The following is a 21,331-nucleotide window of genomic DNA, read 5'->3' on the forward strand; positions in this document are numbered from 1 at the left end:
ACTTTTATGGTTTTCAGCAGTCTTCTTGTATTGATTTCTATTTTTATTGTGCTGTAGTTCCAGTGTGGTTGGTATGATTTTGGTTTTTTGAATTTGCTGAGAATTGTTTTATGGCCAATCGTGTGGTTGATTTTAGAGTACGTGCCATGTGCAGATGAGAAGAATGTATATTCTGTTGCATTTGAGTGAAGAGTTCTGTAGTTGTCTGTTAGATCCGTTTGGTCAGATGTCATGTTTAGGTCCTGAATATCTTTGTTAGTCTTCTCCCTCTATGATCTGTCTAATAATGTCTGTGGGGTGTTGAAGTCTCCCACTACTATTGTGTAGGAATCTAAGTCTCTTTGTAGGTCTCTAAGAGCTTGTTTAATGAATCTGGGTGCTCCTGGGTTGGGTGCATATATATTTAGGATAGCTAGGTTTTCTTGTTGAATTGAACCCTTTACCATTATGAAATCCCCTTCTTTGTCTTTTATGATTATTATTATTTAAACTCTGTTTTGTCTCACATTAGACTAGCACCTCTGCTATTTGCTGTTTTCTGTTTGCTTGGTAGATTTTTCTCCATCCTTTTACTGTGAGCATACAGGTGTCGTTGCTTGTGAGATATGTCTCCTGAAGACAGCATACCACTGGGGCTTGCTTCTATTCAACTTGCTAGTCTATGCCTTTTAATTGGGGGCGTTTACACCATTTACATTATAGGTTAATATTGATATGTGCAGATTTGATCCTGTCATCATGTTGTTATCTGGTTATTATGTAGACTTGATTGTGTGGTTGCTTTATAATGTCAATGGTCTGTGTACTTAAGTGTGTTTTTGTAGTAGCTGGTAACGATCTTTCCTTTTTGTATTTACCACTCCCTCAAGGACCTCTTGAAAGATAGGTCTGGTGGTAATGAATTTCCTTAGCATTTGCTTGTCTGAAAAGGATCTTATTTCTCCTTTGCTTATGAAGCTTAGGTTGGTTGGATGTGAAATTCTTGGTTGGAATTTCTTTTCTTAAGAATGCTGACCAGGGCCTATAGGTGCGGCTGCAGCCACCCGGCCTCTCTGTCGCGCCCCCTCCCCAGGGCTGTCAAAGCCCCCCAGCCCCTCATTTCCACAAAGCTCTGTGGCAGATCTGCCCTCCTTGTCCCCGTGGCATGCTGTGGCCTGTGGCACAGCCCCACTCCCACCTAGCCACGTCAGCCTCCTTCCCCTCCCGGAGCAGCACGTAAGGACGGCTGAGGCCGCAGGAGTGATTGGGAGAACGATGCATGTAAGTCTGACATCATGGTGTCCATCTGGCAAAGAAGAGAAATAAGAGCCACAGAAGTTTCTGAAGACTTTCCAGCCCAAGAAGAAAATGTGAAGTTCGAAAATAGATTGCCATCTGGTTGTACCAGTAGAAGATTATGGAAGATTTTGTCATTGACAATTGGTGGAACCATTGCCCTTTGCATTGGATTTCTTACATCTGTCTACCTTGCCACATTACATGAAAATGATTTATGGTTTTCTAATATTAAGGTACAGGTTAAGTATCCCTCATCTGAAATGCTTGGGGCCAGAGTGTCTTGGATTTCAGATTTTGGATAATTTGCATATACATAATGAGAAATCTTGGGGATGAGATTCAGGTGTAAACATGAAATTCATTTATGTTTCATGTATACCTTATGCACATAGCCCGAAGATGATTTTATACAATATAGTTCATAAGTTTGTGCATGAAACAAAGTTTGTAGTCACTGAACCATCAGAAAACAAAAGTGTCACTATCTCAACTATCCTAGTGGACAATCTATGGTTATTTGGCATCACCATTGCTCCTGACTCTGAATTTACATGGTACCTTTATAAGTAATCATTTTGTTATACTTATTTGCACATAAGTACTTAACAATAAAAAATATTACATACCATCAATACAGTGAAAAAAATAACACTTTCAGGGTAACTTGTGGCATCACGTTGGCTCTCAGAAAGTATCCAATTTTAAAGTATTTCATTTGGATTTCAGCTTTTCAGGTTAGGGCTGCTCAATCTATAAATAAAGTGTATCATCTAACAGTAAAAAAAAAAACAAAAAAATGCTGACCATAGGACCTCAATCTCTTCTGGCTTGTAGGGTTTCAACTGTGTTCAGCCAGCCACCAAATCTAAAGCTGAATTAAATAATTAGAGATAGTCTGGGGAACATGCTTCCTGAGAAGGATCCCACTTGAATGGACTATCTTAAAACAGTGAGGTTCTATGGAGTTTTGTCCAACCATTGAGCATACGCAATTACAGAGAATAAGATTCAAAAGAATTGGTATAAGAGTAGCTGTATTGGACACACCTTTTAGCATGGTTCTTCTTCTTCTGGTCCCCATTCTCCTTCCAGTAACTGCTTGACTTTGATTAGTTCAGAAAAGGTGCAACCCGACAGAGCTTTGCCTTAGGCTTTGCTTCATTGCCTCTTCCTGCCCTTGTGATGGCAGCAGCACGCTGTCTGGAAGAGCCACTGCCATCTCGCTGTGTGCAGCAGGGAGGCATGGCCAGAGCTGCACGCTCCATGAAGCCAGCAGGAGCCATGGACAAGCAGAAGCCCCATCCCTTCTGAGTGCCACTTCAGCTGCCCAAGCCACAGCTGTGGACCTGGGCATCCCTATGCTCTCACAGCCCAGGAGCAGGTGGGAGTGCCACCCTCCCACGCACAGCTGCAGCTACCCAAGTTGCAGCTGCAGACCTAGGCCTCCTGCTCCACGGGGTAGGCAGGAGGACCACCTTCCTGGGTGCAGCTGCAGCCGCCCAAGTCACAGCTGCAGACCCAGGCCTCCCACTCCATGGAGCAGGCACGAGCCCTGTCCCCCCGGGTGCAGCTGAAGCTGCCCAAACTGTCACTGCAGACCCAGGCATCTCTGCACTCTTGCGGGCCCAGGAAGTACCCCCTACCCCCTACCCTTGCAGGCTTGGAACTGCCTGCTCCTGCTGCTTGGCTTCTCCTGCTGTCAGTGCTTGCTCTGAACTCGGAGCACAGTTGAGGCTAAGCCCAGGTGCTGCCACAGCCTGGATTGGCATGAACACACTCAGGGCAGTGCTGACACACCAGCCCCTTGCCACATCTGCTGTCTGGATTTTGGGCACCAATGATCATAGGAGGGAAGCCAAGGAGGGGCTGAGGGCAGCTCAGCACTGGCCTGCAGGCTCCCCTCGGCACCAGGCCAGGGAGGGCCTAAAGGCTTGGGGACAGGCTGCCAGTCCCGAACTGGAGTGGGAACTTGTGGTGCCTTTTCTCTGCCCACATATGGCCACCCACGGGCCAATTAGCATGGGCCAATGAGCATGCACTTTCTCCCCTCTGAGGCCCATAAAATCCCTGGACCCAGCCAAAGCTGAGCAGACGATGGGATGACCAGCTACAGAGAGGAGCAACCCACTCTAGGGCCTCCTCTCTGCTGAGACTTGCAGAGATGATGGAAAGATGTCAGGGAGATGATGGAGAGATGGTGGCTAGATGATAGGACAACCTGCCTGCAGAGAGAAGCCACCTACTCTAGGGCCTCCTCTCTGCTGAGAGCTGCGCAGATGTTAGGATGACCAACTGCAGGGAGGAGTTACCCTCTCTGCTGATAGCTGAACACTTGTCAGGATGACTTGCCTAGAAGAAAGGAGCTACCCTCTCTGCTAGGAGCTGAAAACTCATCAGGACACCCTGGCTACGGAAAGGGCTTCCCCCTGCAGGCTTCCTCTAAGCTGTTCTATCACTGAGTAAAGTTCTTCTTCATCTTGCTCACCCTCTACTTGTCTTTGTACCTTTTTCTTCCTGGTCACAGGACAAGGACTTGGGACCCACCAAATGGCAAGGCTGAAAGAGCTGTAACACAAACAAGACTGAGACATGCCCTTTGCTCTCCACATTGCAGGTGAAGAGAAGGAAAGAAGAGATGTGGCCCTTTGGAGAGCTCAGACCTGGGAGTTCCCTGAGCTAGTTCTGTTACTCTCTCTTTGGGGTCCTGTGGTTTCCGGCATCTCCAAAATTCTGAGCACGACTGTGTTCTCCGGTGCCAGCTTTGGAAGCTGTTTGCAGTGCACCTTTTCTGGCTGCAGCCTCACAGAGAGCTGGTGCCCATGCTGGCACCTGGAGCTGCCCACCCTGCTGCAGTAGCCAGCATGTCTGACCGTGCACAGAGGCTGGACCCCACACTTGCTCACACACCTCTCACCATACATGCCTGACTTGCCCTTGGCAGGCGTGGGACCCAGGGGGGTGGCATGAGCCAAGTGCAGCCTGCCAGGCCAAGTGGGTGAAATGAGCCTAGCAGGCCTGAGCAAAACTCAGGCAAAAGCACCACAAGCCACAGAGGTTCTGGCCAGAAAAAAATCCCATAACATTTTGGGGCTTCTGTGTAGCTGTGGCAGCTGATACCCCAGGACCCACTCAGCACTCATGCATATACAACCCGGAAATGCAGAAGACCTAACACCTGTGGAGCCACCTTTGACTGATGAGGGAGGAAACCTATGTACAAATTTTTTTTCCCTTTTGTTCCATAGGCAGATAATTGTAAAATATATTTTCCAAGGCTCCCCAAAGGTATGCTGAAATAAAGTACTAGTCAACAGTAGCAGTAGCCAGCTCAGTAGTGCATTCTTATATTGACTTTCCTTCACTCCCTGTTCACTCCCTTTGTCCTCACAGTCATTCCCCAGGATCACATTCCCAAGAACCTCCTCAATGCAGCCTTTATCTTGGCCTCCGTTTAAAGGAGAACCCAGGCTAAGAAAATTTCCCTTTTTACTGTTTTACAGACAGCATTTATAAGGCATATGTGCTGATGTTCTTCATTACCCATTAATCAGTTATGGAATTCCTCTACAGGCATGACCTCAAAATCCCTCTAAACACAAGATTCCTGGGAGGCATTGTCAGTTCACTGAAATTGGAATCACCACTCTCATTCTGGAATGGGTTGTTTTCCGTAAACCCTGAAAGATCTAAGCTTCCCATGTACACAGGGAAGTATGGTCATTTGTTGTGATATGGATGTTGAGCAATAGGCTAGCCTTACTCATGGGCTTAGTGACTCTTATACCAACATATGGCATTTGGGATTCAAATCCATGCCTCAATAAAGTTACAATCAGTTGGGAATAATTTAAACCTTACATGTTAATTCTGTAAATTACGTTATCTATCATATAAAAGTAATCATATAGGGCCGGGTGTGGTGGCTCATGCCTGTAATCCCAGCACTTCGGGAGGCCGAGGTGGGTGGATTACCTGAGATCAGGAGTTCGAGACAAGCCTGGCCAACATGGTGAAATCCTGTCTGTACTAAAAAATACAAAAATTATCCAGGCTTGGTGACAGATGCCTGTAATCCCAGCTCCTCAGGAGGCTGAGGCAGAAGAATCACTTGAACACAGAAGGCAGAGGTTCCAGTGAGCTGAGATTGCACCACTACACTCCAGCCTGGGTAACAGAGTGAGACTCCATCTCTAAAAATAAAAATAAAAAATACTCATATATATATCTATCACATAAAATTCTCCTACCCATATTTTGACCTTGGGGTCCAGAGCTATTGCTTTATTTCATCCCTGTTCCCTGAGTAATCACATTTATTTCATGGACCCAAAACTTGCTTGTCAAAACTAGAACTAGGTTTGTTGAAAGTCACTGTATAATATAAACAAGGAAAGTCTAGGACCCTAATATCAGGAAGACAAGCAGCTTGAGAATATTCAAGCATGAAGATGGCAAATAGATGTCTTACCCTGTGACAGTTCTTACAGGTAATGCCCACCTGAAATTTACTGTTCAAAGAATTCTGTTGACTCATATGGACTCAATGAGAGAGTTCTGTGAGTAACTAGTGCTGTCTACCATGGGCAATAATGTTTGGCCATCTCTGTAGCAACATATAGGAAGAAAAAGTCTAAGAAAACAAGCCAAATATGAAATTAAGGGAATCTGGTAGAAGATTTCTTCAACTGCCACCTTCTTTAACTTGCTGAGCCAAAGCTTATTCCATCTAAATGAGTCTAGGAAACCATAATACATAGTAATTTTTATGTACTTGGCTCTTCCACTAAACTGTGAGTTTCTGAGGACAAAAAGCCAAGCAGGGATTCCTAAATTCAGGCAGGCAGTAGTCATTGAGAAAAATCCTTCTGGCAAATTGACCCACACCTCAAACTCAAGAGATCATTAGAGAAATCTGAAGCATTTATGATGCACTGAGGATAACCATAGTAGCAACGAATTTTAAACTTTAAACCCAGCTCAACTCCCTGATTAAAAGACCTAGCAGAAGGAAAAGCACACTTCTCTCCAGGCATAAGAAATATTTACTTTATGTTTACTCTGATAGACTCCATGTAAAACTGTCAAGAAAAAACTTTCAAGGCATATTTTAAAAAGGAAGAAAAAACACAGTCAGAAGAGATATAAAAAAAAGCAGAAGCAGACTCAGATATGACAAAAATAATAGATTTATCAGGGAAGGGATTTTAAATAACTGTGATTAAAATGGTAAAGTCTCCAGTGGAAAAGATAGACACCATGCGAGATCACAGAACACCAAGAAGGATAAATCACGCACATGCACGCACGCACGCACGCGCACACACACACACATACAGACACATACACACACACCCCAGGCATACCATAGTCAAACTGCTGAAAAACAAAACCAAAGGGGAATTCTGAAGGTGGCCAGAGAAAAATGCACATCACTTACAGAGGAAAAGGCTAAAAATTCTAGCAGACTCCTTTAAGAAACCATACAAACAAGAAGACAGTGGAATGACATTTTTTAAGTTCTAAAAGGAAAAAAATCAACACAAAATTCTATAATAGCAAAAACATTTTTCAAAGATAAATGGGAAATAAAGACTTTTTCAGAAAAATTAAAAACTGAAAGAATTCATTTCCAGCCAAGCTAGTATATAAAAAATGTTAAAGGAAGTTCTTCAGGCAGAAGGAATACGACATAGGTCAAAAACTTAGATTTACAAAAAGAAATGAAAAGCACTGTAAATGGCATAAAGATAAAATTAAATCTTTTTCTTATTTTTCACTTCTGTAAAAGGTACTTGGCTGCTTAAATAAAAATTAGTAATATGGTGTTTACAGTATATATAAAAGTGAAATATGTGATTAAAACTCCAGAGACGAGTGGTCCCTTTAAAGTCATTACTCTATACATGGATAGGTATGTTATTTTAATGTGCACTCAGATTATATTTAAGTGTATATTGTAAAGCCTAGGGCAACCACTAAATTTTTTAAAGATGTGTAAATATTAAGTAATGGGGGGTATAAAATAGGATAATAAAATCTCTTCCATTAAACCACAAGAAAGCAGAAAAGGGGAGAAAATCAAAGAGCAAATGGAACAAACAAAAAAAAAGCTGGCATTATGATAGATTTTAACCCAACCATATCAAAAATCACCTTAAATAAAAATATTGAATAATGTATTGTGTCTAATCAGGAAGTCTTTATAATAAACAGAGGGTATTTTACTAGCAAATCCATGGCACTGAAAAGACAGCATGTTTCATGGAGAAGATACTGAGTTGAAAAAGAAAGGACAAGTTGTTGAATATGTCTAATATAGTAAGTTTCTTTTTAAATCTATGATGGAACATCAAGTCACAAAAATTAACCTGTTTTTCAGGAATTTATGCAGCCATTCTAGTTGGGTCAAAGGGAAATATATTGAGTGTCCATTTTGTAGCTCTCTAGCTGTACAGAGTTAATACACTCAGGTACTGTTGACAAGGCCAGACACTTGTCCCTGACTCATGTCATAAGAAGTGTGAAAATCTGACTCACAGCAGCTATCGAAGAGTAAATTGTCAATGGAGGATGCAATGATGAGTTGACAGTAATGGGTTTAGTTCTTCGGTTGCCTATTTAACTTCATTGCTTCCTGGCCTCAGAGTGCAGCTCACGCCCTCACCAGTCTTTTATTAGTTTGAGGTAACATTGTCACGAGGAGGGTGGAAGGAGAAAATATGTTTGCCCTACTGGGAATAGTCCTTAGAATGCGTGATTTACAAGTGCTAGGTTAAGACATCATTTTTAATACAAAACATGCAGCAAGTGGAACATGATTCATGCACAGGCAGGTGGTCAAGGTTGTCCAAGCATTGGAGAACGGGCCCAAATTCTCCATCCCATCATGTAGCTACTGCAAGAAAATAGATCCTAAAGGACTTTAAAATCTCCTCTTGGCTTTCTCCTAAAGGCTTCCTCACCTTAATAGGTGTCCCATTAAGAGAACTAGACCTTCTTTTTACAACTGCTCTAAACAATGTCTCTGTTTAAAAAAAATAACTTTTAATGGTGTGAATAATCTTTCAGTGTCAGCAATTTTTTGAATCTAATTCAGCTCTTTCAGCACTGGGAAGAGGCAGGCACAATCTCTGATGTAAAGCCAGGATGTGCCTTTCCCAGGAGAATTCACACCAGTTCCCATGACCATCACAAGGCTAAGAAGGGGTTGGTGTCACACTTGCACCACTAATATTCCCCCTGGCTTCAAAAGTCCATTAGACAGAAACTTCCTGCAGGCAGGGAATGTAGCAACCAGCACAATGGTGGACACAACACTGAAAACTTATGAACAAATGTTTAAAAAAAATCCCTGTCTTCATAATGTTTACATTCTACTACTGGAAGATGGTTAAAAAAACAAGTAAAATATATGGTATGAAGGACTGACAAACACTTAAGGGAAAAATCAAGTAAGAGTGAATTTTAGTTTAAAATAGGTGGTCAGGGAAGGCTGTATGAGCAAGGAGCTGAAGGAGGTGAAAAAGAGAGCTATGCCTCTCTGGAGGAAGAGCATTCTGGGAAGAGGATATTAGAAGTCCAGTGGCCCTGTGTCTGTTAGACTGGAGAAACAACAGAGGGGCTAGTGTGTCAGGAGTGAACTGAGCAAAGTGCCTAATCTTACTGAGGTCATCATTCCTTTCCTAGCCTAGATTTTTTTTTTCTTGGTGAAATAAAGGTACTGGATGCTCCTCTTAGTGCCTGTAGCTTGCAATATGTTTTCTGTCATCATTCCCTACATACAAAGGCTTGTTTTTCTGGGCCCTAGGAAGGTGAGCTAGACCTAGGAATATTGGATTTAGTTGTCCTTCTCTTTGTCTTTTTAATCTAGAATAGTCCCCTTAACTTTTTTCTGTCCTCCATAGCATTGGCATCACATCAAGAGTTACATAATGTCAATATATCTCATTATTGAAGATCCCATGTTTTGTCAATCATTTAAATTAACATCACTCAGAATTTGTAATAAACATTTCTCCCTTTGAAATAAATAAGTAATCTATGGGATGGTACATTGAGAGCACGTGAACATTCTCTTCCCTGATAAATTTTCACCTCCCTATAGTTTTGGTAGCAATTGGTGATTCTTACCTGAATAATTATATTGATGATTGCAAAATGGTGATTTTCTAATTTCATAATCTCTTCTATTTCTTAGCTAGAATTCCTTAGTAAAGAGGAGCTTTTCCTTTTTGATGTTCTGTTAGATTTGGCTTGCTGGTATTTTGTTAATCTTTGCAACTACGTTCATGAGAAATATTGGTCTGTAGTTTTCTTTTTTCGTTGTGTCCTTTCCTAGTTTTGGTAATGGGGTGATATTGACTTCTTAGAACGAGTAAAGAAGGATTCCCTCTTTCTCAGTCCTTTTAAATAGTTTCAGTAGCATCGTTTCCAATTCTTCGAATGTCTGGTAGACTTTAGCAGTGAATACATCTGGACCTGAGCTTTTTGTTGATGTTGGCAATTTTTTATATTACTGATTCAGTCTCACTTCTTGTTATTTGTCTGTTCAGGGTTTCTTTTTCTTCCTGATTTAATCTAAGAGGGTTGTATGTTTCCAGGAATTTATCCATTTTCTCTAGATTTTCTAGTTTGTGTGCATAAAGGTTTTCATAGTAGTCTTGAATTATCTTTTGTATTTTTGTGGTTTCAGTTGTAATGTCTACAGTTTCATTTCTAACTGAGCTTCTTTGAATCTTACATCTTCTTTTTTGGTTAATCTAGATAATGGTATATAAATTGTGTTTATCTTTTCAAATAATCAACTTTTTGTTTCATTGATCTTTTGTATTGTTTTTGTTGTTTCAAATTCATTTATTTCTGCTCTGATCTTTCTTCTGGTAACTTTGGGTTTAGTTTGTTCTTATTTCTCTAGTTCCTTGAGGTGTTACATTAGGTTATCAATTTGTGATCCTTCAGACTTTTTGATGTAGGAATTTAGCACTATAAACTTTCCTCTTGGCACTGTCTTTGCTGTCTCCCAGAGGTTTTGATAATTTGTATCACTATTATCATTCATTTCAAAGAATTTTTAAATTTCTATCTTGATTTCATTGTTAACCCAAAAATTCTTCAGGAGAAGATTGTTTAATTTCCATGTATTTGTATAGATTTGAGTGTTCCTTTTGGAGTTGATTTCTAGTTTCATTTCAATGTGGTCTGAGAAGAAACTTAATATGATTTCAATTTTTTTTCATTTATTGAGACTTGTTTTGTGGACTATCATATGGTGTATCTTGGAGAATGTTTCATGCAGGGATGGTTTAGCATATGCAAGTCAATAAATATGATACATCACATAAACAGAATTTTTTAAACTCCATATGATCATCTCAATAGAAGCAGAAACAGCACTTAGTAAAATTCAGCATTTATTTATGATAAAAGCCCTCAAAAAAACTAGGTGTAGAAGGGACTTATGTCAAAATAACAAAGCCATATATGACAAACCCACAGCTAACATCATACTGAATGAGAAAAAGTTGAAAGCATTCTCCCTGAGAACTGGAACAAGACAAGGATGCTCATTTTCACCACCTCTTTACAACATAGTACTGGAAGTCCTAGCCAGAGCAATCAGGCAAGAGAAGGAAATAAAGGACATCCAAATTGGAAAAGAGAAAGTCAAACTATTGCTGTTTGCCAGTGAGATCATTATATACCTAGAAAACCCTAAAGACTCCTCCAAAAGACTCCTAGACATGATAAATTCAGTAAAGTCTCAGGTTACAAAATCAATGTACACAAATCAGTAGCAATGCTATACACCAACAATATATAGCAGTGAGATCAAGGAGAGAGTGTAATCTATAACTCAATCCCTTTTTCAACAGCTGCAAAAAATAAATAAATAAAATACTTAGGAATATACTTAACAAAGGTTGTGAAAGATCTTTACAAGGAGAACTACAAAACACTGCTGAAAGAAATCATAAAGGACACAAACAAATGGAAATACATCCTATGCTCATGGATTAGAAGAATCAATGTCGTGAAAATGACCATACCGCCTAAAGAAATTGCAGATTCCATGAAACTCCTATCAAAATACCCACATCATTTTTCACATAATTTTTTAATCCTAAAATGCATATGGAACCACAAAAGTGCCCAAGTAACCAAAGCAACCCTAAGAAAAAGAACAAATCTAGAGGCATCACATTATAAGACTCCAAATGTACACTACAAGGGTACAATTACCAAAACAGCATGGTACTGGTATAAAAGTAGACACATAGACCAATGGAACAGAATGGAGAACCCAGAAATAAAGTCAATATGTACAACCAACTGATCTTCAACAAAGCATATAAAAATGTAAATTGGGGAAAGGACACCCTATTTAATAGATGGTGCTGGGAAAACTGTACAGCCACATGTTGAAGAATGAAACTGGATCCCCGTCTTTCACCTTATACAAAAATCAACTCAAGAAGCAGGAAAGATTTAAATCTGAGACCTCAAACCATAAAAATTCTAGAGGATAATGTAGGAAAAATTCTTCTGGACATTGGCCTAGGCAAAAAATTTATGACTAAGACCCCAAAAGCAAATGCAACTAAAATTAAAATAAATAAATGGGACCTAGTTAAACTAAGCAGCTTCTGTACAGCAAAAGAAATGATCATCAGAGTAAACAGACAACTCACAGAATGGGAGAAAATATTTGCAAATTATGCATCCAACAAGGGACTAGTATCCAGAATCTGCAAGGAACTCAAACAAATCAACAAGAAAAAAAAACAAATAATGAAATCAAAAATGGGCAAAGGACATAGACAATTCTCAAAAGAAGATATACAAATGTCCAACAAACATATGAAAAAAATGCTCAACATTACTAATCATGAAAGAAATTCAAATTAAAACTGCAATGAGATACCACCTTACTCCTGCAAGAATGGCCATTATTAAAAAGTCAAAAAAGAATGGCATGGATGTGGTGAAAAAGGAACCTTACACACCACTGGTGGAAATGTAAATTAGTACAACCTCCATGGAAAACCCATATGGAGATACCTTAAGGAACTAAAGTAGATCTACCATTTGATGCAGCAATATCCCAAAGAAGTCAATATATCAAAAAGACTCCTACACGAATATTTATTGTAGCACAATTCACAATTGCAAAAATGTAGAGCCAACATAAGTGCCCATAGACCAATAAGTGGATAAAGAAAATGTGGTATATATACAACATGCAATACTACTCAGCCATAGGAACGAATGAAATAATGTCTTTTGCAGAAACTTGCATGGAGTTGGAGGCCATTACTGTAAGTGAAGAAATTCAGGAATGGAAAACCAAATACTGTATGTTCTCACTTATAAGTGGGAACTAAGCTCTGGGTACACAAAGGCATGCAGAGTGATATAATGGACTTTGGAGACTCAGAATGGGGAGAGTGGGAGGAGGTGAGGGATAAAAACTACACATTGGGTACAATGAACACTACTCAGGTGATAGTTGCATTAAAATCTCAGACTTCACCACTATATAATTCATCCATGTAACCAAAAATCTCTTGTACCACAAAAGCTATTGAAATAAAAAATATACTAATAAAAAATAAAATAAAAATCCTGAAGAAGAAAGAAAAAGAGGAGCTTTTTTCATTGGAAGGTGGATTTTTTTAAATGGCATGTTCTGAAATTTTCTTACAACTTTTGATATATAAAGTATTTAAAACTCATAAAATATGTTTCATGGTTCAGAAACTACTGAGCTGAACTCTAAAATAAATCTGTGGGCTCTGTAGACTCACAGGGTGTATGCAACTGAGAACATCACACTCTTTACACAATAGAGAGCATGCCTGACAGCTTGTCACCTGCTCATGGGTAGTTGTTCTTCTCTCCTATCAGCTATTTCTGTCAGGACTGGCTCTTCATGTGTTCTCATAGGGATAACTCCGTTAAGTAGATCTCTCAGTGGGTTTATGGCAGAGTTTTGGAGGAAAATAAAGGTATTGAGTTATGCTGTTTGAGGAAAACTGAACTAAGTATATAGAGTTGTGGGAACTAATCTAGATTCTGCTGCTAACAAGCTCTGGGGCCCAGTTACTACGCCTGAAAAATGAAGTTCTGATGTGTTGTCATAGGATTCTGTGCCTATACACAGTTCCTAATGAATCATTGTTGTTGTTTTTATATCTTAGAGTTCTTTATAAAGTTCACTTTCAAGATTTTCAATAGTATCTATGTGGAGAAGAGTTTCTACAATAAAAAAAAAAAGTACTATTCCAAAAAATATTTCTGTAAGGCAGGGCCATACTGTAGGTACAATATCTGGAATTACCATAAGCAGAAGCATATTGAGTGCTATTGAGTGCTGACTCTATATCAGACATAGTGCAGAATGCTGATCTTCTACTCTTCCATTTACTACTCAGTAAGTCAATGTAAGAGTACTATTATTACTCTGACTTGTACAGATGGGAAAACTGAATCTTAGAAGGAGCTTATCCAAACTACAGGAGGGTACACTTAGGTGTCAAACTCAGGTCTATCTGATTCAAACCCAACCAATGGTCTTAATCATCGTGCCACAGTCACTTCCATATGAAGATCAGAAGAGCAATAAATGGTTTGGAGCTTTTCAGGGCCTTTTATGAGACCCAGATGTTCTGCAAAGATTTGAGTTTTATATTTTCAGTCACAAGCTTCTATTGAGTGCCTGTGGAATGCTATCCTCAGCATTACAAGAAAAAAGAAAAAAGAGACATGGACTCTGTGATCAGGAAATCCATCATCTAAATTATATATGACCATATTGACATATACATATATATATACACACAGACATACATATACACATACAAATACATGTGTCCATCATTTATAACATACTCACTATGCAATAAGTGCTTCAGATATATCACTTTGTTCTCCACATAAGACCTGTGTGGTTGATGTTACCATCTCTATTTTACAAATGTTAATAGACAATCGGTGCAAAATGTATATAATCCTGAATATCCAATCATAGTTCTGAGTACCCACTGTCCATACCAGATGACCACAGAATGAGCAGCATGAAAGGCCAGGGGCCTCCCCTATGGGACTTTCCATTCTGGTTGAGAAATTAAAACTAACACACATGAAATGTCAGAAAAGACCACAGGGATGGCCTATTATTAAGTGCCAGGTTGGGTTACATAGACTGTTGTCAGAGGGATCTTGGCAGAGAAAAATCCAACCAAGGGTCATGTAGTCAATGGTCAGAGACAGACAGATCTGATTATTTTGTTAGAATGTTTGGATTAAACATAACCTGAAGGCAATAGTTGGGCTTCCAAACTTTGTTTATTTGCTTATTTGTTAAGTTATATTTAGGTTTTTGTTACTTAGAACCAACACAGTCCTGATTAACACAGAATGAAAAAATGGATGAACAAGATGTGGGACAAGTGATTGGCAGGGGCCGTCTAACAGAAGGGCTGGAGAAATTACTGCATCATTTTTTGAGAGGCAACTCTCTTGAATTTAACTATCCAATCAATAAAACAAAGTTACACCTTTACCCCCATGAAGCAGAACTTGCAAAGTTCTAACTAAGCTGACTGAAGGAGCTTGAGTTCTCTGGACTGAAGGTAAAGCAGTAAAAGATACTACTTATTATCAAACATACAAAATTAAAATGTGGTAGAAGCTAAAAATAAATGCATTTTTCAATAACTAAACATCATTTATTTAACTTGCACTGTTTTATGATTTCTTTTTTAAGAGACATTTTGCATCCTACTGCTTTCAAGAGAGCTACTGCCTTCCTGGTCAACAAACCCCTTGTCTCTACTGTTTCTCCATCATTTATTTAGTCCATCTGTCAGCCAATCCGCCTTTCTCTTCTTTCTCTTTTCTTTTCCTTCATTTTCCACCTCAGAAAGAAACTTCTAACTAAACTCAGCAAATGGCTCCTAGATAATTATCTTCTAAAGGAAGTATAATGCATTTTTTATGTATCCACCAAATGACACATTCTCCATTCCTCATCCCACCCTCATACAGAGAGCAGTGACTTGCCTGCCTTCTCACATCTTAGAGAAGTAAACTTCAGTCTTTAGCTCTGGCTTCTAACGGCCATAACTTATAGTAGTAAAGGTTGATGTATTGGGTGCAAGAAAAGTAAATTTAAGTTAATAATGAGAGTGATTATCATTCGTGACAGTTCTTGATCTCTGTGTAGACAGTAAAGAAGAGCTTCAAAAACCGGCAAAAAAAATCAATAAGATTCCTAATAAAAGATCTTTATTATAGCTACACCAAGCTGAGCCCAGAATACCCTCGCAGACTTTGTCAAGGGGCTTTTTCAGAAATCACACAGGGAAAAATATTGGGCAAATAATGTTAGGATCCCTGCCAGTGGGCAGCTCTGCCCTCAAGTATGCATAGAAATATGGAGAGGACTTAGAGGGAGCAGCCACGCCCCTTAAAAGTTGACCAGAATGGACCTCTGAGAAAAGTCACAGACACCAGGACCATTTGGATCGGTTCAAGAGTCTGGAGGTGACTAACGTCGGTGAAGGTGACAAATGTGAATGGCTCTTGTAAAGGATAAATGATGACCAGCATTTCTTAATATCTACTGAGGTCTGAGCTGTGCCCTGTGAAGACGTTAGGCTTTCAGCAGGGCAGCCTTCTGGCTGGGTGAAACTTTAGAAAGGGTGATGAAAGTCTGCTCAGAAAAAGTCTCACTTGGGATGAAGCTTCCTCCAACGAGCTCACAAGGTTTCTTCTCTTCACAGATGTAGGATTTTGAGTTATGTGTTTTGGAAAAGGATGCAAAATTGAATGAATAATTTTCTTCTCTTGACCATAATGCATAAGGAAGGAGGTAATGAGAGGAATACTAGAAACAAATGCATGGACCAGGGGAGGCATGACAAGCAAGAAGGTGCTGGGAAGCAGGAGAGTTTAGAGCATGTGGATACATACAGGACAGGCATGTATCCAGTGGAAGCAACATAAAACATATATTTATAGACTTGAAGGGGAAAGGAAGAGGAAGAGGTGCCACTGAGTCATGAGGTCAGGAATGTGTGGAATCTGGGAAGGAGTGTTACTCCAGGGCAACCTGTAATAGTCCTTCTCAAAGTCAGGGGCATGTCTGGGGAGCTGGTAGTTACTTGCAGATCATATGAATTCCCAGGCCCTTTGGCATTTGGTAGTATCACCTTCTTCTTCTTCTCCTTTTCCTCTCATGAATCAATGCATCTGACCACCCATTCTCCAGAGCTTCCCAGAACTAAGCTCATCCATCCCAGTTTACCACACTCCATTGAAAGCTGAAAATGTAGGAGAGAGAATAGAGCTAGAGTCACTAGGACTGGGTTAATGGAGCACTTTCCCCAGTGGGTAAGAAGTAAACTTATCTTTAGTTTTACTGAGCATAAGGAAGCGGATGGTCCAAGGGTGGTTGGATTTTGGTGTCAGACCATCCTGAGCCAAAATTCCAACTCCCCCACTTCCCCACTATTTGACCCATTATATGATCTCTGAATTCCATTACATGATCTCTGAATTTTAATATTCCCCTCTATTAAACAGAAATAACAGGTATCTTGAGGCTGTTGCACTGCTAGTCATTATGCTCAGTCAGGAGAAATGAGGCATAAACTGGAAGTGGAATGGATAATAGAAGGTAGCCGGGGAAAAGCACTTAACAACTTCACACTTCTCTTGACTTTGGCAGGAAAAGAGTCAAGTGATGGCATGTAGGTCCAGAAGGAAAACAACTTCACACTCCTCTTGACTTTGGCAGAAAAGATTCAAGTGATGGCATGTAGGTCCAGGAGAAAAATATCATCTCAGCTGCTAGCTCCCAAATCAGATGCTATGTAACCTGCCTTGACTTTTTGAAGGAGGGCTGGGGAATATCTTTCACTGGGAAATGGGATGATTATCTGAAGGCTGGAGATGGTGAGGTGTTTTTTGTTAAGTATAAGGAGCCATGCTAAGACCCACCAACACAGCGGTCATAAAAAAAGTGAGATGGCTTGCAAAGAACTAGAAATACCATGGCTTTGCCTAGCTGTGTTTCCTCTGGCCAGCATCACTCTAACTCACCTTGATGACCCAGAGTGCAGCCAGTCCTCAGAAAGAGACTGGATCTGGCAAACAAAAATGTGAAGGAACCCAGAATACAGCATACCTTTGTTCCTCATCTCTATTTCTTTCTGCTTCTCTCTCTCTCTTTCTCCCTTCCTTCCCCCATCCCACATCTCTTCAATGCTGGGGTCCCATAGTGGCAGAAGACAGTGGCCAACTCCAATATGTTATTTTATGAGCACAAAACAGGTAAAGACTGGCTCTGTACAAATCTCTAAATTCCAATTCCAAATTTCTAAGAGACAGAAAGTGATGGACTCAACTTAAAACAAGTAGCAGCCAATCCATTGTGACCAGAAGGTCAAGGTCACAAACATAGTTATCAGCCCCTCCTCTGGATCAGTGAACCAATGTCCACGAGGAGATCTGACAAAAAAAGAAATTGAACAAGCACTACAAACTGGGTCATAAACTGAACAGGACTCATACACCTTTTGCAACATTCAAAGGATGGTAAGCACTCCTCACACATGGTGCCATATTTGTCCCCAGGTCAGGTGAAGGGCTAAACTGGAGGTAGTTAGAGGAAGGATGATATCCAGGACTGTGTTCCCCTAATCATTGGGTCAATGGAGAATCTTCCAGCACTTATTCCATGCCTTTATTTCACTTCTAAAAGCTTTCTATCTTCAATTTGGTTAGAAATGTTTCTAATCAAAGGTCATGCACAAGTGTCATGACCCAGATAACAATGATACCAAAGTAAATTATAAAAATCTTTCATCAAGAAATCTTTTCTTTCTATAATTTTTGCATTGAGAGTTTATCAGCCTTCCTATAACTGATATAATAAATACAAGAATACTTCTCCACCCATTAAAGCAAATTGCCAGATGACACTCTTTGCAGTATCCACCCCACTCAGGAGTACAGATAAATTCTGCTGTCATTTTTATAGCAGCTCTTATATAAATCTGGATATTTGATTATTTGAGATTTTTCATTGACAAATTTCCAAAATTAGCTCATTTTATATTATTGCAAATCATCACAGTAGGGTAATGAAGTGGGGTAATGGGTGTTTATGACAGGAAATGGCTTACAGATGCTGCAGAGTACATCAGTCATCTTTTTTGTTATCTTCCTTCCTGCTTTAGTCCCTTCCTCTATGCAATTTCTTTCCTGAACTATGTCAATATTATGAGACTGAGTTTCTAGAATAAAGATGGCCAATAGGCTACATCTCATGAGCTGACTCTAGTTAACAGTGCTGTCCTGACTTTGTATCAAGAAGAATTCTGAAAGCTTGTCTGAGCTTAGTGGGAGAAAGTACTGGGACCGATTGGTGATGACTGTCATTGGCATAGGAAAAAAGATGTATTAGCACATGTGCCAGATACTTCCTACCCTGGCATCTTTCAAAAGAGATCATGAGGAAAATAAAAGCTTATAACTCATAATATGGATCAAATATCATGGAACCCAGCATCTGAGAGAGGGTTGTTGCTGCTGTACTGACATTAAAATATGGGGAATATAGTTTAACCTTGACATTCTTGAGTAATATTATGAGAGAGTTTTGCAAACCCACAATCTTAAAAACAATCTTTAGCATCTATTAAACATTTAGTGTGAGCCAGGCACTATTCCAAGTATTTTTCTTTTTAATTTTCACAATAGTCCTGTGTACTAGGCATTATATTTACATTCCTTTTACAGAAGAGGAAATAGAGAAGTTAAATAACATGCCCATGGTTGCAGACCTAGGGAGTGGCTGAGCTGGGACTCTAGGCCAGGAGGTCTGAGTCCAGCATTCTAACCCCTTTGCTATATGGGCTCTAGAATGCAGGGAACTAACACCAACTGAGATGTGGACATAGGACAGTCAGGTAGGGATGCTTATTACCTGCTACTCCTTCACACCAGCCTCATGGCCAATATGATTCAGTCCTACCACTTTCCATTCACTGCCTCATATAAACTACAAAAAAATTCTATGGGGTCGCTGTGATTATTCCTAAACACACACCTTCAGGGTTGCAAGCAAGTGGTCAAAATTGTGAATACTGTAGATATAATAATCTCCAACAGGCTATTAGTGCTGCGTAACTCATCACCACATTTCAAAGATCAGGATATGGAGAACAACACAATAGGGACAAGTAGAAAAAAACTTGTGGAAGTCCCTGTTCATTCCCAATGATGGGACCTTTTAATAGAAATGCAAAAAAGTGGTGTGCCATGGGAAATCTGGATGTAGTAATGAGCTAAACTTTTTTTTTCTATCTTCAGATAGTGTCAAATCCTACTTCACTGCAGGTAAATATTTTCTGGAACTTGTTTGTATTTATAACTCATTATGTATCTCAGTTCTTTCTGTTTGGTTATCTCTGGTTTATTTTAAAGTATATCCCTTAGGAACCCTATTCTGAAAGAGCTGGTTAATCAGGACATTGAGCCATAATAAAATGATGGGACCCTCTTTCTAGCCTTGGGGAAAATCTCTAAGAAAACATACACTGGCTTTAGGTGAAAGTGATAAAGTGCTTTCACTGTGGAGGAGGGCTAACTGATTGGAAGCCCAGTGAAGACCCTTGGGAACAACATGCTAAATGGTATCCAGGGTGTAAATATCTGTTAGAACAGAAGGGACAAGAATATATAAACAATATTCATTTAACTCATTCACTTGAGGAGTGTCTGCTAAGAACTACTGAGAAAACACCATCACTAACTAGAAGAATTGATGATACCATCTTCCAAAATCCTATGGTACAAGAAGCTATATGAATGGGGTTCAGTTTCAAGGATGTTAAGAAAATAATGGAGGAAAAAATGCAGATATCTGGGAGCAACTATAAATAACTTGAGGTTCTGGTTGCAGATCTAGTGAATGCTCAGAAAGACAGTACACAAGATGAGTCAAGTCAGACTTCATTACAGAAAGAGATTAGTACTGAAGAGCAGCTAAGGCACCTGCAAGTGGAGAAGCTTTGCAAAATCTGTAGGGATAGAAATATTGCTATCGTTTTTGTTCCTTGTGGACATCTAGTCACTTGTAAACAATGTGCTGAAGCAGTTGACAAGCGTCCCATGTGCTACACAGTCATTACTTTGAAGCAAAAAATTTTTATGTCTTAATCTAACTCTATAGTAGGCATGTTATGTTGTTCTTATTACCCTGATTGAATGTGTGATGTGAACTGACTTTAAGTAATCAAGATTGAATTCCATTAGCATCTGCTACCAAGTAGGAAAAAAAATGTACATGGCAGTGTTTTAGTTGGCAATATAATCTTTGAATGTCTGGATTTTTCAGGGTATTAGCCATATTATCCATTTTTTTACTGTTAATTAATTGAAACCATAGACCAAGAAGCATCATATTATAACTGAACGCAACGTGTATTCATAGTATACTGATTTAATTTCTAAGTGTACATGAATTAGTCATCTGGATTTTTTATTCTTTTCAGATGGGCTTAACAAATGGAGCTTTCTGTATATAAACGTGGAGATTAGAGTTAATCTCCCCAATCACATAATTTGTTTTGTGTGAAAAACGAATAAATTGTTCCACGCTGGTGGAAAGATAGAGATTGCTCTTAGAGGTTGGTTATTGTGTTTAGGATTCTGTCCATTTTCTTCTTTTTTTCTTTTTTTTATGATTATTACACTTTAAGTTTTAGGGTATGTGTGCACAACGTGCAGGTTTGTTACATATGTATACGTGTGTCATGTTGTTGTGCTGCACCCATTAACTCGTCATTTGGCATTAGGTATATCTCCTAATGCTATCCCTCTCCCCTCCCCCCACCCCACAACAGTCCCCAGAGTGTGATGTTCCCCTTCCTGTGTCCATGTGTTCTCATTGTTCAATTCCCACCTGTGAGTGACAACATGCAGTGTTTGGTTTTTTGTCCTTGTGATAGTTTGCTGAGAATGATGGTTTCCAGCTTCATCCATG

At 39.6% G+C, this 21,331-nt stretch overlaps 1 pseudogene, besides 2 other annotated features; it reads left to right on the forward strand.

Annotated features, from left to right (window-relative positions):
• The first annotated feature begins 1,274 nt into the window (after nt 1-1,274).
• On the forward strand, nt 1,275-20,634 carry XIAPP1 (X-linked inhibitor of apoptosis pseudogene 1; annotated as a pseudogene).
• Nucleotides 2,383-2,883: an enhancer, noted in NCBI's record as "H3K4me1 hESC enhancer chr10:111422680-111423180 (GRCh37/hg19 assembly coordinates)". NCBI's record gives its function as "activates a minimal SCP1, AML or CMV promoter by ChIP-STARR-seq in primed H9 embryonic stem cells {active_cell/tissue: H9 hESC(primed)}" and the evidence as "EXISTENCE:reporter gene assay evidence [ECO:0000049][PMID:30033119]".
• Nucleotides 15,523-16,722: an enhancer, noted in NCBI's record as "MED14-independent group 3 enhancer chr10:111435820-111437019 (GRCh37/hg19 assembly coordinates)". NCBI's record gives its function as "activates an origin of replication core promoter dependent on BRD2, BRD4, P300/CBP and CDK7 cofactors, and independent of MED14, by STARR-seq in HCT116 cells {active_cell/tissue: HCT116}" and the evidence as "EXISTENCE:reporter gene assay evidence [ECO:0000049][PMID:35650434]".
• Nucleotides 20,635-21,331: the final 697 nt, after the last annotated feature.

This window comes from Homo sapiens, chromosome 10, assembly GCF_000001405.40.
Source record: "Homo sapiens chromosome 10, GRCh38.p14 Primary Assembly".
Taxonomy (NCBI): Eukaryota; Metazoa; Chordata; class Mammalia; order Primates; family Hominidae; genus Homo; species Homo sapiens.